Source organism: Homo sapiens, chromosome 1, assembly GCF_000001405.40.
Source record: "Homo sapiens chromosome 1, GRCh38.p14 Primary Assembly".
Lineage (NCBI taxonomy): Eukaryota > Metazoa > Chordata > Mammalia > Primates > Hominidae > Homo > Homo sapiens.
The window spans coordinates 244704161-244721308 of NC_000001.11; the positions used below are offsets into that span (position 1 = coordinate 244704161).

General features: G+C 42.8%; 1 protein-coding gene across 9 annotated transcripts in view; it reads left to right on the top strand.

The window, feature by feature from the left end:
- The window catches only part of DESI2 (desumoylating isopeptidase 2), a 55908-nt gene extending 51035 nt beyond the window's left edge, over nt 1-4873 (top strand). For all 9 annotated transcript variants that reach the window (NR_123735.2, NR_123736.2, XR_001737208.3 and 6 more), the window contains one exon: nt 1396-4873. Coding sequence is in view for 6 of the 9 variants with exons in the window: in NM_016076.5 (NP_057160.2) it covers nt 1396-1629 (234 nt within the window). In the remaining 3 variants the exon portion in view is untranslated. The remainder of the gene's footprint in view (nt 1-1395) is intronic.
- The last annotated feature ends 12275 nt before the right edge of the window (nt 4874-17148 follow it).

The following is a 17148-nucleotide window of genomic DNA, read 5'->3' on the forward strand; positions in this document are numbered from 1 at the left end:
TTGTATAATTATAGGTGCCAACTTATTAAATTTTAGCTAATTTTTAGACATAAGGTACTGTGAAACCCCTTTCCAAAGTTATTACCTAAGATATGCAAATATCTAAGATGGTACTTGGAGATCACATGATCATAATCTTTGGTATAATTGGAGGCAAAAACAACAAAGTGGCAGTGGGGCATGAACGGCAGCCCAGTCCATTGTCTGCACAAGAGAAAAAGGATAATAAAGAATAAAGTTAGGGGCACAGAATAGACCCAGTTCTTACTATTTGAAATAGGAGCGGGGGGAAGGGTTCAAGAGTCCTAAGGACAGTATAAGGACAGGAAGTGGGCAACTATAGAAGCAGCAGATCATCAGCGGGCAGGGATTCCTCCTGGCACTTGTATTCTATCCCGCTAGTGTCTTCAGACTGAAGCATGGCCAGGCTTCCATGCCTTGTCTGACTCTAGGCCTACTTCTGCAGAGGAGTCACAGAGCCAGGTCGTCATCTGGGAAAACACTTTGTGTGTGTGTGAGACGGAGTCTCACTCTGTTGCCTAGGCTGGAGTGCAGTGGCGTGATGTCAGCTCACTGCAACCTCCGCCTCCCGGGTTCAGGTGATTCTCCTGCCCCAGCCTCCCGAGTATCTGGGAATACAGGTGTGCACCACCATGCCCGGCTAATTTTTTGTATTTTTGGTAGAGACAGGGTTTCACCATACTGGCCAGGCTGGTCTCGAACTCCTGACCTCGTAATTCACCGGCCTCAGCCTCCCAAAGTGCTGGTATTACAGGTGTGAGCCACCGCGCCTGGCCCACACTTTTTTAATTTGAGACACTCTTATCACCCAGGCTGTTTTTTCTGGACCAGGATGAGCCCCTTGAAACAAGTGGGTCAGGGAGAGAAGTAAAGGGGTAAAATGTAGACCAGGAGAAATGGAGTGATAGACACTGGAGAAAAGGGGAAAGTCAAAAAGAATCTGTGAAAAAGAAGAATTCACAAATAGGAAAATATCCAAGATTGACTCTTCCAATTGCCTGGGGCTTCTATTACTCTAATAATATATTGTATTAACAAGCGTCTTCTGTGTGTTCAAAGTACTTTTCAGTGTGTCTCACAGCAGTTGCAGAGATCAAAGAAAGGAGCCAAGTGAAATTAGCTTGATTTCACAGATATGAAAAGTAAGCAACTTGACAAGGTTCTTTAGAAAGGAAGGAATGGAGCCAACAGTAGGGAGCCCAGGTCCTGAGTAAAGAGCTGCTTGTTATCAAAAGCCTGGAGTGACACCACTGAAGGCTAGTCTGCCGTGGCTTCTCTGTACGCCGCCCCCCTCCTCCCACCCTCCACTCCCTGGCAGTGGACCAGGTAATCTTAACCTCTCTTACCTAATACAGAACTCTTTCTCTTCTGTAGATTCTTTGTGGGAAAGAGATTCCTCGCTGGATCAATCGACTTGCCTACTTCAGCTCCTGTATACCCTTTCTACAGAGTTGCCTCCCGAAGGAGTGGCTCACGCCCGCAGCCCTGCAGTCTAGTGTCAGCCAAGAACTCCAGGATGAACTGGAGGAAGCAGAGGATGCTGCCGCATCCGCTTCCGTGGCAAGCACTGCAGCAGGCTCCAGACCCGGGCGCCACACTAAACTATAAATGTCTCCAAAGTCACACATTCAGAACTGTCTCTGGCAGTCGAATATCACTAGAGAAAAGTAAACAGAGAAGCATCCTTTAGATATTTTGTATGCAAAGATGGCTCTCCCCCAAATCCCAGTTTTTCAGCTCAGGATTATATTTGTAATCAAAAAAAAAAAATCACTTGGCGCAGGAGGGAGAACTTTGTAAGAAGCTGCCCTCTGTTTTTTTTATCCACTCGTAAATCTGGATTTATTTCTTCTGTTTTATACAAGCTCTGTTAAGTTATGTTTACAGTATCTTGTATCGCTGTTTACAAATCTTGCATGGACTCCTGCCACAGTGAAAGAAGAAAATCTTCATGTCTTCAAAAATTAGGCAGGTAATCTTTGTATACTTCTGACAATTGCCAGATCTATGGCATAAATAGGCACACAAAAAGGTACTTAAACAGTTATAGTCACCATCACCTGCTTCAGAATGGTCTTTTAGATTTGTGTTTGTTTTGTTAAAGTTGTTGGCACCAGGATGCAGAGAATCAGACTGGCCTGAGGTGAAGGAGCACACAGCCCTGAGGGCTTGGAACCCTGGGTCCAGTTCCTCTTCACACCCCCTTCCACTCTGAGTAGCACATCTCCCCAGGTGCCCATGGAACACCTGCTTTCATCCCAAATATCCGTCCACCTAGGCGGGGTGGTATGTTCTTACGTCTCTCTGACTTTGATGCCACTCATTCTATAGTTTAGCTGGTTTTCGTTCAAGATATTCTTGGTAGTAACTGACAAGTATGTTGCACATGTATTGGGGGAGGCGCTTCATTTTTATTTTAATACACATGTATTTCCTCCTTGCACAGGATTTTGATGGTGTGGGAATATCCTAAGTGGTAGCCTTCCAAGTAGCAGTGAGTTGACATTCAGCTGCTTTTAACTATTCAGGCTACCTTTTATACTAAACCTTGAAAACTAGAATCTAATGTCTACCCCAAAAAAGTAGTTCTTTGATATTTTATACTTTTTATGTACCATGTCAGAAAGAGTATGTTGGCGTTTGTCATGGGACTCATTTCACATAATAGAATGCCTAGTCTCATTGACCAATCGTTAAAAAATCATATTTGTGTGTCTTAAGATTCATATTTATATGTTCTCTCAAATGTATGTCTCTTACGTAACATACTCTAAGAATGAAACTGTCACCACAGGTAAATCCTTGTTAGCAAGGAATCTGTCTGCTCCAGTCTACTCCTAGTTTGATCCTTGGATGTAAGAACCAAGTCATTACATGTCAAATTCAATTTTTCTGCCTTAAGAATGAATGTCCTTCATAAAATATTGGATGCAGTGTAACACTATCCAAGGCAGTGACTTCAGCTTTATATACATATAAAATATAGTTAGTTTTAAAATTATTGACATTTATTTAAACTTTTAGATTGGATTGTTTGCTATTGCTCTGTGTGAGGATACATAATCTTTCAGTAAACTGTATTTTTAACTTTTCCATAAGCTGATTTTGGTTCATTTTATCAACGTAAGCACACCCTGTTCATAGGGAAAATAAACCTTGGGTTATAAGCATTAGCCTGAGGACAATGAAGCCACTTAACCTAATTTATGCTTTCGACTGTTCTGTTTCCAGAGAGGAAAGCCTTTACAAATTACTCTCAGTTCTTTAGGGGCAGAAGGCTTGTTTCAAGAGGTTTGACAGAAGAAAGGAATATATGAACTTAATGAGATGTCGACTTGGTTCAGGTCTAAAAATGAGGGCAAAACACTAAGGCTCTAGCAGTGACTTGTTCACTAAAAAGAGAGAGTCCTGTCCCCAGACGGTTAGTACAAAGCCTTGGATACAGTTTGCTTGTAATATTTTTAATAATGTGAGGAGTACAGTGTTTTCTAATTCATTCAAGTATATATGATTTAAACCTGGGCTACTGACACACACACAGTAGCCATTAGTTAGACTCTTCTTAGTGAATATCAGGAACATCCCATCTGTGCTTAACCAGAATCCAGCAAGTCAGCACACAAGTGATTTTATTGTTATTTTGTTGTATTTACTTGCATTTGTTGTATTTACTTTCATCTGCAGCATTTGGAGTTTAAAAATAATGTAAAGGGTTCTAGTAGAAATAGTGTCCTAAGGCCAATTACCTACCATACTAACAATCAGCAGATAAAATTCTGGACGTGAGATTCCTTATAATCTAATTATACCTGAGGTTGAGCAAGAAATGTCTTCCTTTAGAAAATCTCATTCAAGTCAGGTTCTTCTCTACAGTTCAAAATTGAGAATGGATTTAATTAACTAGCATTTAGCCAGCTTTTTCTTGCCCTTGGAGAAAAAGAATCATTCTCAACCTGATAATCTGTTAAGAAAAATCCCATATGAACAATCTGGTCATTAACATACATATGATACGGAGTCTCTTTGTTGTCACCAAGTGAACATACTTCTCATGGTGGGTTGGACAGTAATACATGTTAGAGGGTCAGAAGCTTCTGGTTTCTGCTGTTTGCTTTAAATACCCTTGGGGTTTTTTTTTAAACCCTTACAAGGGGAGCATCAGCTTTGGAAAGTGTGACTCTGTAGGAGTGTAGAAGGCAGTGGTGTATGATCTTAGCCTCGTCCTGATGCCTGAATCCAGCCAGCTGTTGCTCTGACCCACAGCAATAGAGCAAGTTACCCATCACCAGCATTTGTACAGAGCAGGGAATTCTGGTTTTAGTCCATTGGTAGCATTGTGTGTATGAGGAGATTCAACACCACAGACAGCTGCAGGACTCGATATCCATGGCTTCTTTCCATCACAAAACGGGTAGAAACACATTCACTGCTTCAGGGTTCTAATCTGTGTGTCTCCTTATGACTCCATTTCTGTAAGCTACTCTGTAACTTTGATATATGCTGTATTTTCTTTCTTTAAAAGATTTAGATGTTTTTTCAGCAAGCTAGCCATACAACCATTGTATCTCTTTCTCTTCAGTATGGTTTAGAGCCCAGATCAGTTAGTAGGCTTTCGTTGTCTTCTCTTTCAATACATGTACATCTTTACTGTTTGAAAAGTGTTACAGCTGTCAAAGAATCTTCATGGACCTGAAGATAATTTCTTGTGAAGTTGAATGCAAGTGTACTGTCATTCATAGTGTTTATATCAAAATACCAGGAATCTTCACTTTTGCTACCTTGATATAGCATTGGGCTATCATGTTACAACATTGAAATACATTGATTTATTAAAAAATACTTTTATAAGAAATGTTTTATAGTGCTTTCTTTCAGATTATAACTGTTGTGTATTTGTGTTGGGCGGGGTGGGGAGGTATATTTTTAAAACCCAAGCATCCCGTGTGCTCGGCAGGAACATGACGGCCAGCCCCTCCATCCTTTCTTCCTCTCACATGCACATGTACCTTTATTCACCTGCATTGATCTTGAGCGCAGATCTGTGGGCCCAGTGCCTTAGCTGTCAGATAGCATAGCCACACCTGCTCACAGGGAGGGGTGCCAGCCCTGACTTCTGGGGAATGGAGGCAGAGGGGCAAGCTAGAACGGACTCCTCCCCCAGAGTGCAGGGAACAGACCTGCAGAGGAATAGCCCCGACTTATGCACACACTGTCCCTTGTCTTGAAGCAGCAAAGCAAGCAGGAGCCTGAGAGAATGAGCTCATTTCCTACGGACCTGTTCTCCAATGCTTGGCACCTCCAACCTGCCCCTTCCCCTTTCTCCTCCACTGGCCTTTTTGCACACTGTGGAGCAATATTTTCCTCTACTAATTCAAAAATTTCTCTTGAATTAACTATTGTTAAATAAATGAATACCAGCCTTTTGTGACCTGTCAATGCCTGTCCACTCTAAGCAAGAATGATCTATGTACAACTTACTTGTTCTGGCCTCCAGAACAAGAAACAAAGGGAGCTCTTCCCCCAGGCTAACACAGGTTCCTAATAGACTATAACAAGGAGGTTACAAATTCAAATCTGGTAAAGCAATTTCAGGATCTTGCTTGGAGAAAGAAGGCCAAGTATCTGGAGGACAGTGGTCTTTTGTTGTGTGTTTTTCATTACCTGCTCCTGAAGTTCTGATCACCCAGATATTGACCTTGTTCTATAATAACTGTGCAGAAGTCAGTGCTAATAAAGGTTAACAGCTTCTTGCTATACTTTCCAGGAAGTAAATCAGTGGCAGACAGCTACTTACTTCCTTATGGATTCAAAGCCCAGAGCATTGCTGAGGCCTCTCATACCTGCCCCTTGGTCGTTCCTTCCTGTCAAAGCCAAGAGGGGAAGGAGAGAAGAGCCTCCTCTCACCATGCTCAGGAAGGCATTCATTCTCCTGAGAGTAGATGAGCCCATCTGTATTCTGGGGCCCTGCCCTGATCTGGGAAGGTGTCATGGTCCCAACAGAGAATGAATCAGTCCCATACTGGTGAGGGCTGGAGTAGAACCCCCATCTTTGAGCACTTCCCTGACACCGGACCCCCTCCCTTAGTTACAGTTGCCTGGTTCTACCAAAGCCACTGGCTACCAGACTGTTTCCTTCACACCCCAAACTTCTAGGTGATCTGTGGGATTTATACCTGGGCAGCCTTCAGGTACGTCTGAAGTCCCACCCATGAGGCTCCTCAAAGTGGAGTGGAGTGGAGTGAATGAGGCCTGCTTTACTCCACCGGAAGAATATGCATTTGATAGGGGAGTAAAGAATAAATCAGACTAAGAAAAGCAATTTGGTCTACCTAGCACTCTCAGTCTATGTGGCCAGTGAATATCCACTTCAGTGGGGCTGGGATTTTCAGATCAAAAAACCAGAATAAGATGTATGGGAGCCAGGCCACAAGACTCAGGTATAAAAAAAGACTGAGGAAAACTTTCATGCCTTCCTCTCCCTCTGCCAGGATCAGTGAGTGGGTGTCACAGAAATACCCTGGCATTACCCCCTGGCAAGCAGTTGATAATCCACAGAAGGTCACTTTGTGGGTTTTGAGGACAAGACAAAAAAGAAAAAAGAAAATCTTTACCTCTGCTTTGTGCTTGGGCCCATGCTGAGTACTACACACATTATTTAATTCTCACAACAGCCTATGACATCATTCCTGCTTTACATAAAGACAGTTGAGAGATTTTTAGCTCAAGACCACACAGATGGCATAGGGAAGGCCCATATTTGAACTCAGCCAATTCTAAAGCATCTCTTCTTTCCATGCAAGCATATACTTCTCTGAAACGGCAAATCTGCCCACCCCGAGTCTACTAAATGAGAATTGGCATTTTAGCAAAATCCCCAGGTGATTTATGAGTACATCCATGTTTAAGAAGCACTGCTGAATTTCATAAGACGCAGTTCTGTGTGGTTCCCGGATGAGTTAATGTCAGGCAGCCTGGACATGTGACTATCTGAAGGACCTGCTAGGTGACTCCCCTCCAAAATTCAGTAGAGGTGCAGTAAGACTTTCTAAATTTTGACTGGGTTTGACTCAAGCTATATAAATTATTCGAGGACTACCCACCCCAATAAACATGAACCATGAACTTAAACCCTCTGGTGTTGCTGCAGGGAGTAGTTACCTAGAAGCCCCTGGTCCAGGCACTAAGGATTCTGGACTATTGTCCAAATGAGATCCAACCTCCTGTGAGAGACCGCCAGGGCCAGGCGCTTCAGGCGGCCATCCTGTTCACTTGAGTCATCACTGAAAGCTCAAGCCCCCCAGGCCATTCATCCCCAGACTCATCCCCAACAACTCTACACGCCCTTATCTGGCCAGCACCCCTATTCATCCTTACTGTCCCCCCTTTCCAATGTGCCCTCTGGAACTCTCAATCTGTGACAGGCAAATGACCCAAGACTCCATTTTTTCAAATGTTTCTTGACCTTTCTGCTTTACCCGAAACCTGGCTGTCCCTTGAGAATCTCTCTCCTTAAGTGTACCCTCCGTCTCCCAATTGCTGCTTCGAAATAATTTCTCCTCTTCCCTTCAAAACCTCCAGCTCCAGTGAAACCTGTGCTAGCCAGTTCTACCAGCTACTCCCCTTCATTGTCCCTCTTCCTGCTCATACTGTCTTTGTCTCCAGCATTTCCCTGTCATCACTCTCCACTTACGTTCATGTAGGTGATCTGTCCGGTACCCTAGCCCAGTGTTTCTTAACTGGGGCTCTGTCCTTTGGGGCAAGACAATTCTCGTGCTAGGCAATCCTCCGCAATATGAGCCTAATGGCATCTCTGCACCCTCCCTGCACGTTACCAGCCTTTTACCCCCTCCACAGTCTGCAACATCCCGTGTCCTTGTGCATCCCCCACATTTCATCCCGCAGGGGATTGGCAGGCCTGACCTCAGTTGAGAACCATTCAATGTCTTGATCTCATGTCAGCCATTCTTTGAAGGCTTCAACTTTTCATCATTAGTAACATTCTTTTTTTTTTTTTTTTTTTGAGACGGAGTCTTGCTCTGTTGCCCAGGCTGGAGTGCAATGGTGCAATCTCAGCTCACTGCAACCTCCACCTCCAAGGTCGAAGCTATTCCCCTGCCTCAGCCTACCTAGTAGCTGGGATTACAGGCACCCGCCACTATGCCCGGCTAATTTTTGTATTTTTAGTAGAGACAGGGTTTCACCATGTTAGTCAGGCTGGTATTGAACTCCTGACCTCAGGTGAGCCGCCCGCCTCGGCCTCCCAAAATGCTGGGATTACAGGCGTGAGCCACCGCGCCCGGCCCATCACTAGTAACATTCTAAACCACTTCTAAAAATCTTAATTTTAACCATCACTAACCATGAACTTCCCAGCTCATGCTAGTACCCTACATTCCAAAAGTCTTCAACTTATCAAGATCCCAAATCCATCAATCCTAACATCACCTCCCTCCCATCTTCGTTTCTCCTTTCACTCAGCCTAAATTCCATGGCCAATAATTCAATCATTTCCTTCTCAGTACCCTCTAGATCTATGCCCCTTTCTCCATTTTAATAGCCTGGCAAACCCTGTACTGTTCTGAGACCTCTCTGCATCTGCGCCTGATGAGCTGAATGCTGCTGAAGAAAAACCACACAACTAGGCTGACTGATTACAGTTTACTCATCCTGTCCACAAACCTCACATGGGGACATGACACCACGCCATGGTTTACTATAGTCCCTTGTCAGCCTGCTCCTCTGCTCTCCTGGATGACACTCATAGCTTCCGTCTTCACCTCTCCCACACGTTCCCCGCACATTTCAGCTGAGAACCTCGCTTTACGCTTCAGTGAAAATACAGAGACAATTTAGGCAATCTCCCAATCTACAAGCTCACCTGAATTTGTGCCCGTCTCTATAAATAAATAAATAACGCCTTGTGAAATATGTATGCAAGAGAATGTATATGTTGGTTGGTTGGTTTCTTTATTTAAGACGGAGTCTCACTCTGTTGCCCAGTCTGGAGTGCAATGGCACAATCTTGGCTCACTGCAACCCCCGCCCCCTGGGTTCAAGCAATTCTCCTCAGCCTCAGCCTCCCGAGTAGCTGGGATTACAGGCGCGTGCTACCACACCCAGCTAATTTTGTTTTTTTTAGTAGAGACGGGGCTTCACCATATTGGCCAAACTGGTCTCGAACTCCTGACCTCAGGTGATCCGCCCGCCTCAGCCTCCCAAAGCGCTGGGATTACAGGAATGAGCCGCTGTGCCCGGCCAGTATATGTACAATTTAAAAAGTGATAAAACGAACACCTCCCTGAACAACCATTCAGCATACAAACTAGAACATCAGCAGCACATGTAGGCTTCCCCAGCCACTTCCTCTTCCCCCCACTGGAAGGGTAACCACAATCCTAGTTTTGTGTAATCGTTCCTTTGCTGCCTACATATGCATCCCTGGACAATACTATATGATTTGGTTTTGCCTATTTTGAACTTTATAGAAATGGAATCATAAATTTCAGTTATTTTTTAAATTTTTACATTATTTTTATAATTCATGCATATTATATGTATAGTTGTAGTTCATTCATTTTCACTGCTACATAGTGGGGTTTTTCTTGTTTTTTGTTTGTTTGTTTTTTTGAGACAGAGTTTCGCTCTCGTTGCCCAGGCTGGATGGAGTGCAGTGGCTCGACCTCAGCTCACTGCAACCTCCGCCTCCCAGGTTCAAGCGATTCTCCCGTCTCAGCCTCCCGAGTAGCTGGGATTATAGGTGCACGCTACCACGCCTGGCTAATTTCTGTAGTTTTAGTAGAGACGGGATTTCACCATTTTCGTCAGGCTGGTCCTGAACTCCTGAACTCAGGTAATCCATCTGCCTCGGCCTCCCAAAGTGCTGGGATTACAGGCGTGAGCCACTGCGCCCGGCCTGTGTGGTTTTCTGTTGGACTAATATGCCACAATTTTATGCATACATTCTACCTCTAACGGATATTTGGACTATTGCCAGTTTTTATTGCTATTATGACCAATGCTCCTATGAACATTATCATGCATACCTCCTGCTGCAGATGTAATGATTTCTCTAGACATGGGATTGGTAGATGGTAAGGAAAGTGCAGGTTTAATTTTATTAAAGTGGAAAAAAAGACATTATACTTTTATTAAATGAAGTCTTACTCAGCCCTCTCTCCATCTTCTAATCAAACAGCTCCACAAGCTAGTTATTCTTTTCTAATGTCGTATAATGAAATTCTAGAGCCTGGCCTTCAAAATATTTTTTACAATTAACTAAAAGAGTCAAAGAGATCAAAACTGGTGCTCGACACCCACACAGCCACTGGGAAAGATGACACTCGGTATCACAAAAGTGGTCTAAAGAATCTGATTGATTTGGTTAAGAACTTTCAAATAAAAACTGTCTTGTTCTATGAAGAGTGGATATGTATGTGTATATTCATCACTATTTGCAACTCTGTTTGAGCAACAGGGTCTTGTTAGAATCCTACAACTCTAGGAAATAAATTGATAAATAAAAATATTTGTGCAAATAACCACCATGCGAAAATAACCTCCAAAAAGAACCTCTATCTGCCTGCTTGTCTTGATAATTTGCTGTCTTGGTTATAATGTTGTAAATGACATCTTCATATTCCTAAAAGTTACACACACTTGAAAGACAGATGAGGCCAGGCGCGGTGGGTCGCACCTGTAATCCCAGCACTTTGGGAGGCCGAGGAGGATGGATCACGAGGTCAGGAGTTTGAGACCAGCCTGGCCAACATGGTGAAACCCCGTCTCTACCAAAAAAATACAAAAAACAGCCGGGCATGGTGGCGCACACCTGTAGTCCCAGCTACTCAGGAGGCTGAGGCTGGAGAATTGCTTGAACCCACAAGGTGGAGGTTGCAGTGAGCCGAGATCGCTCTACTGCACTCCAGCCTGGGCAATAGAGTGAGACTCCATCTCCAGAAAAAAGAAAAAAGAAAGAAAGGGAGGGAGGGAGGGAGACAGGAAGGAAAGAAAAGATCAGAAGACTGTGCACTTTTCTTCTACGTGCATGATGAAAAAATCAAAGCCCTTGACACCCTGCCAGATATATTATTTAAAAGATCATCTGACAGTTCCTGCTTCATAGCATCAATCAAAACTATTTTCCAAAGTGGCTGTAACACTTGACACCCCTACCAGCAGAAACTTTTAGTCTCCATTACTCCATATCCTTGCCACTTGATGCTGACCAAGTCTTTAATGTTTGCCAATCTGGTAGGTATTAAACTGGCATCTAGCTGTGTTTCTGATTTACATTTTCCTGATTATTAATAAGGTTTAGACTCTTTATATGTTTCTGGGCCATTTAAGTTTTCTTTTTCTGTGAAACGTTTGTCTTATCTTTTGCCCATTTATTTATTTAATTTATTTATTTTATTTATTTATTTTTGAGACAGAGTCTTGCTCTGTCGCCAAGACTGGAGTGCAGTGGTACAATCTCGGCTCACTGCAATCTCTGCCTCCCGTGTTCAAGCAATTCTCCTGCTTCAGCCTCCTGAGTAGCTGGGACTACATGCGCCCGCCACCACACCTGGCTAATTTTTGTATTTTTAGTACAGACGGGGTTTCGCCATGTTGGCCAGGCTGGTCTCCAACTCCTGACCTCAAGTGATCCACCTGCCTCAGCTTCCCAAAGTGCTGGGATTACAGGCGTAAGCCTCCTCACCCAGGCTTTTGTCCCTTTTTCTACTGGATTATTTATTACTTCTTATTTGCAGGGTCTCTTCACATATCTTGACTACTAATCTTTGACAGTTCTGTAGTTGCAAATATTTTCTCCCGGTTTGAAACTTGTCTGTTCACTGTCTATAAGGTGTTTTGAGAAACAGAAGCCCATTTTAATGCAGTCGAAAATATCAATAGTTTTACAGCCATAAAAAAGAATGAGTTCATGTCCTTTGCAGGGACATAGATGAAGCTGGAAGCCATCATTCTCAGCAAACTAACACAGGAGCAGAAAACCAAACACCACATGTTCTCACTCATAAGTGGGAATTGAACAATAAGAACACATGGACACAGGGAGGGGAACATCACACACTAGCGCCTGTTGGGGGCAAGGGGAGGGAGAGCATTAGGACAAATACCTAATGCATGCAGGGCTTAAAACCTAGATGGGTTAATAGGTGCAGCAAACCACCATGGCACATGTATACCTATGTAACAAACCTGCACATTCTGCACATGTATCCCAGAACTTAAAATAAAATTTAAAAAATATATATATATCAATAGTTTTCTCTATAGTAAATAATTCTTGTATCTTAAGAGATGTTTCTCCCTCTAAATCATAAAGATATTCTTTTTTTTTTATTTTAAGAGACAGGGTCTTGCTCTGTTAGCCAGGTTGGTCTTGAACTCTTGGCCTCAAAGCAATCCTCCTGCTTGGCCTCCCAAAGTGCTAGGATTACAGGCATGAGCGATGGTGCCTGACCCTCCTATATTTTTTTCTAAGTATTTTGTCTTTTGCATTGGTCTTTAATTCAACCACAATTGATTGTGTGTGTGTGTGTGAAGTAGGGAGCCAATGTAATTTTTTCGTATGAATAACTATTTGTCCTAACGCAATACACTGGATAGTCTGTCCTTTAGCCACTGTTCTACAATTCCTACTTTTCCATTAGTCAAGTTTCCATATATATTTGACTCTGTTTCTGGACTCTGTAGGTCCATCAGTCTATTTAAATACTCTCTCCAGACCAATGACACACTATCTTAATTACTGAAGGTTTATAAGTTTTACTATGTGGTAGAGCAAGTTCTCCTACCTTATTCAGGAGTTATTACGTGCTATTTTTTGGCCTTTTACTCTTCCATATAAATTTAGAATCAGCTTTTCAAGTAAAACACCCACATGTGTACACATATTGGAATTCTGGTGTGTGTGTGTGTGTATATATATATGTATGTGTGTATATATATATATATCTATATACACACATATATACATATATATATCAACTTTGGTTTTTCTGTTTGTTTGCTTGTTTGAGATGAAGTTTCACTCTGTCACCCAAGCTGGAATGCAGTGGTGCGATCACGGCTTTCTGCCACCTCCACATCCTGGGCTCAAGTGATTCTACTGCCTCAGCCTCCCAAGTAGCTGGGATTACAGGCGCCTGCCACCATGCCGGGCTAATTTTTGTATTTTTAGTAGAGATGGGATTTCACTATGTTGGGCAAGCTGGTCTCAAACTCCTGACCTCAAGTCATCTGCCTGCCTCAGGCTCACAAAGTGCTGGGATTACAGACATGAGCCACCATGCCTGGCCAAGAATATATGTATCAACTTGTAGTGAATCAACATCCTTATATTTTTCAGTTTTTAATTATGGTAGAGGCAGAGTCTCACTCTTTTGCCCAGGCTGGTCTTGAAGGAATTCCCGGGCTCAAACTATCCTCCCACCTCAGCCTCCCAAAGTGCTGGGATTACAAGCATAAGCCACCACACCCAGCCTGATATTGAGTCTTTACCAAGATCATGATATATATCACTCTGGCCAGGCACGGTGGCTCACGCATGTAATCCCAGCAGTTTGGGAGGCCGAGGTGGGTGGATCACTTGAGGTCAGCAGTTTGAGACCAGCCTGGCCTACATGGTGAAACCCTGTCTCTACTAAAAATACAAAAATTAGCCCAGCATGGTGGTGGGCACCTGCGGTCCCAGCTACTCAGGAGGCTGAGACAGGAGAATCGCTTGAAACCAGGAGGCAGAGGTTGCAGTGAGCCGAGATAGCACCATTGCACTCCAGCCTGGGTAACAGGAGCGAAATTCCATCTCAAAAAAAAAAAAGATATATATCACTCCATGTGAACTGATATTTAATGTTTTTCAATAAAGTTTTATAGCTTTCTCCATAAAGGGTTTTCATGTATTTTGTTAGATTTATTCCTAGGATCCTTACATTTTTTGTTGTTGCTAATATAAATAGTATCTTTTATTTCTTATATTTTCTGATCCATTGTTTCTCATATGTAAAAATGCAATTGACTTTTTAAAATAATATACTACTTTTTAGAGCAGATTTAGGTTTACAGAAAAATTGGGCACATAATACAGAGAGTTCCCACGTACCACTCTTCCCCACAGTTTCTCTATTATTAACATCTTGCATTAGTGCAGTACATTTGTTAATTGATGAATCAATATTAATACATTATTATGGCTTGGCGCGGTGGCTCACGCCTGTAATCCCAACACTTTGGGAGGCCGAGGAGGGCGGATCACAAGGTCAAGAGATCAAGACCATCCTGGCCAACATGGTGAAACCCCATCTCTACTAAAAATACAAAAATTAGCTGGGCATGGTGGTGCGCACCTCTAGTCCCAGCTACTTGGGAGGCTGAGGCAGGAGAATCACTTGAGCCCGGGAGGCAGAGGTTGCAGTGAGCCAAGATCGTGCCATTGCACTCCAGCCTGGCGACAGAGCCAGACTCCATCTCAAATATATACACACACACACACACATATACACATACACACACACACACACACATTATTATTCACTAAAGTCCCATTGTTTACATTAGGGTTCACTGTTTGTGCTGTACGGTTCTGTGGATTTTGCCAAATGCATAGTTCATATATCTACATGACAAATGATAGAGTAGTTTCACTGCCCCAGAAACCACCCGTGCTCCACCCATTCATCCCTTCCCAATTTTCAACCCCGGCAACCACTGATCTTTTTACTGTTACAGGTTTGCCGTTTCCAGAATGTCATATTGTTTGAATCAAAGAGTATGTAGCCTTTTCGAACTAGCTTTTTTCACTCAACAATATGCATTTATGGCTCCTCTTTGTCTTGTGGCTTGACAGCTCATTTCTCTTGTCACTGGATGATATTCCATTATATGGATGTGGACCACATTTTATCAATTCACCTGCTGAAGAAGAACATCTCGGTTGCTTCCCAGTTTTTGCAGCTATGAATAAAACTGCTGTAAATATTTATGTGCAGGACTGGGCAGTGGGGGGGTCACGCCTGTAATCCCAACATTTTGGGAGGCTGAGGCGGGCAGATCACTTGAAGTCAGAAGTTCAAGACCAGCCTGGCCAACATGGTGAAACCCCATCTCCACGAGAAATACAAAAAAATTAGCCACGTGTGGTTGCGGGGCACCTAAAATCCCAGCTACACAGTAGGCTGAGGCAGGAGAACTGCTTGAACCCAAGAGGCGAGATTGCACCACTTCACTCCAGCCTGTGTGACAGAGCAAGACTCCATCTCAAAAAAAAAAAAAATTCATGTGCAGATTGTTGTGTGAACTTAAGTTTTCATCTCATTTGGGTAAATACCAAGGAGCATGATTGATGGATCGTATAGTAAAATTTAAACATAAATTTACCATATTAAACTAAACATGTTTTATAAGAAACTGCCAGAATGTCTTCCAAAGTAGCTATACCATTTGGCATTCCCAAAATGCAAAATCAACGAATGACAGTTCCTGTTGCTTGGCAGCCTTGCCAGCATTTGGTGTTCTCAATGTTTTGGACTTTATTCATTCTAATAAGTGAGTAGTGGGTTTATTTTGCAATTCCCTAAGGACATATGATACTAAGCATCTTTTTATATGCTTATTTGCCATCTGTGTTATCTTCTTTAACAAGGTGTCTATTCAGATCTTTTGCCTACTTTTTAATTGGGCTGTTTGTTTTCTTGAGTTTCAAGAGTTCTTTGTATATTTTGGCACAAGTCCTTTATCAGATATGTGTTTTGCAAATATTTTCTCCCAGTCTGTGGTTGCAATTGACTTTTATAGACAGAGTTTTATCTAACGATCTTGCTAAGCTGTCTTGTTAGTTCTAGTAGCATATCTGAGATTCTTTGCAGTTTTCTACTTAGTTGTATCATCTGCAAATGACAATTCTGTTTCTTCCTCCCAAATCCATATAACTTTAAAAAGAATTTGTGTACGCCTTTGACCAAGACCTCCCAAACAATGTTGCCTAGATTTTTTATTTTTTGGTAGGCGGCCGGGGGGAGGTTTGGGACAGCGTCTCCCTCTGTCGCCCAGGATGGAGTACAGTGGCACAATCTTGGTTCACTGCAACCTCCACCTCCCAGGTTCAAGCGATTCTCCTGCTTGAGTAACTGAGTAACTGGGATTACAGTCACACACCACCACCCCCAAGCCTGGCTAATTTTTGTATTTTTAGTAGAGACAGAGTTTCACCATGTTGGCTAGGCTATTCTCAAACTCCTGATCTCAGTTGATCCGCCCGCCTTGGCCTCCCAAAGTGCTGGGATTACAGGCATGAGCCACCGCGCCCAGCCTACTTTGATCTTAAAAGGAGTATTTTCAGCATTTTGAGTTTTTGTCAAATTTTGCCTCATGTGTTTTGAATCTCTGTTATTGGGTGCCTACACATTTAGAATTATGTCTTCTTGACAAATTCACCATTTACTTATTATGAAAATCTACTTTATCCTTGGTTATATTTCTTGTTTTTTTGTTCATTTGTTTTTTTTGAGAGGGAGTCTTGCTCTGTCGCCCAGGCTAGAGTACAGTGGCGTGATCTTGGCTCACTGCAACCTCTGAGGCCCGGGTTCAAGCGATTCTTCTGCCTCAGCCTCCTAAGTAGCTGGGATCACAGGCATGCACCACCATGCCTGGCTAATTTTTGTATTTTAGTAAAGACGAGGTTTCACCATGTTGTCTAGCCTGGACTCAAACTACTGACCTCAAATATTCTGCCCGCCCTGGCCTCCCAAAGTGCTGGGATTACAGGCGTGAGCCACCACGCCTAGACTATATTTCTTGTTCCGAACTCAACTTTGATATTTCTATACTGACACTAACTTTCTTATGATTAGTGTTTTTTCAGTTTTTTTCCATTCTTTCATTTTTAATCTGTGTACATCATTATATATAAAGTGCATTTTTTAAATACAGCATATTTTGATCTTACATTTTTATTTCAATCTGACAATCTTTTTTTTTTTTTTTTGAGATACAGTTTTACTCTGTCACCCAGCCTGACACACAGTGGTGTAATCTCAGCTCGCTGCAACCTCCGTCTCCCAAGTTCAAGCAATTCTCACGCCTCAGCCTCCCAAGAAGCTGGGACTACAGACGCGGTCCACT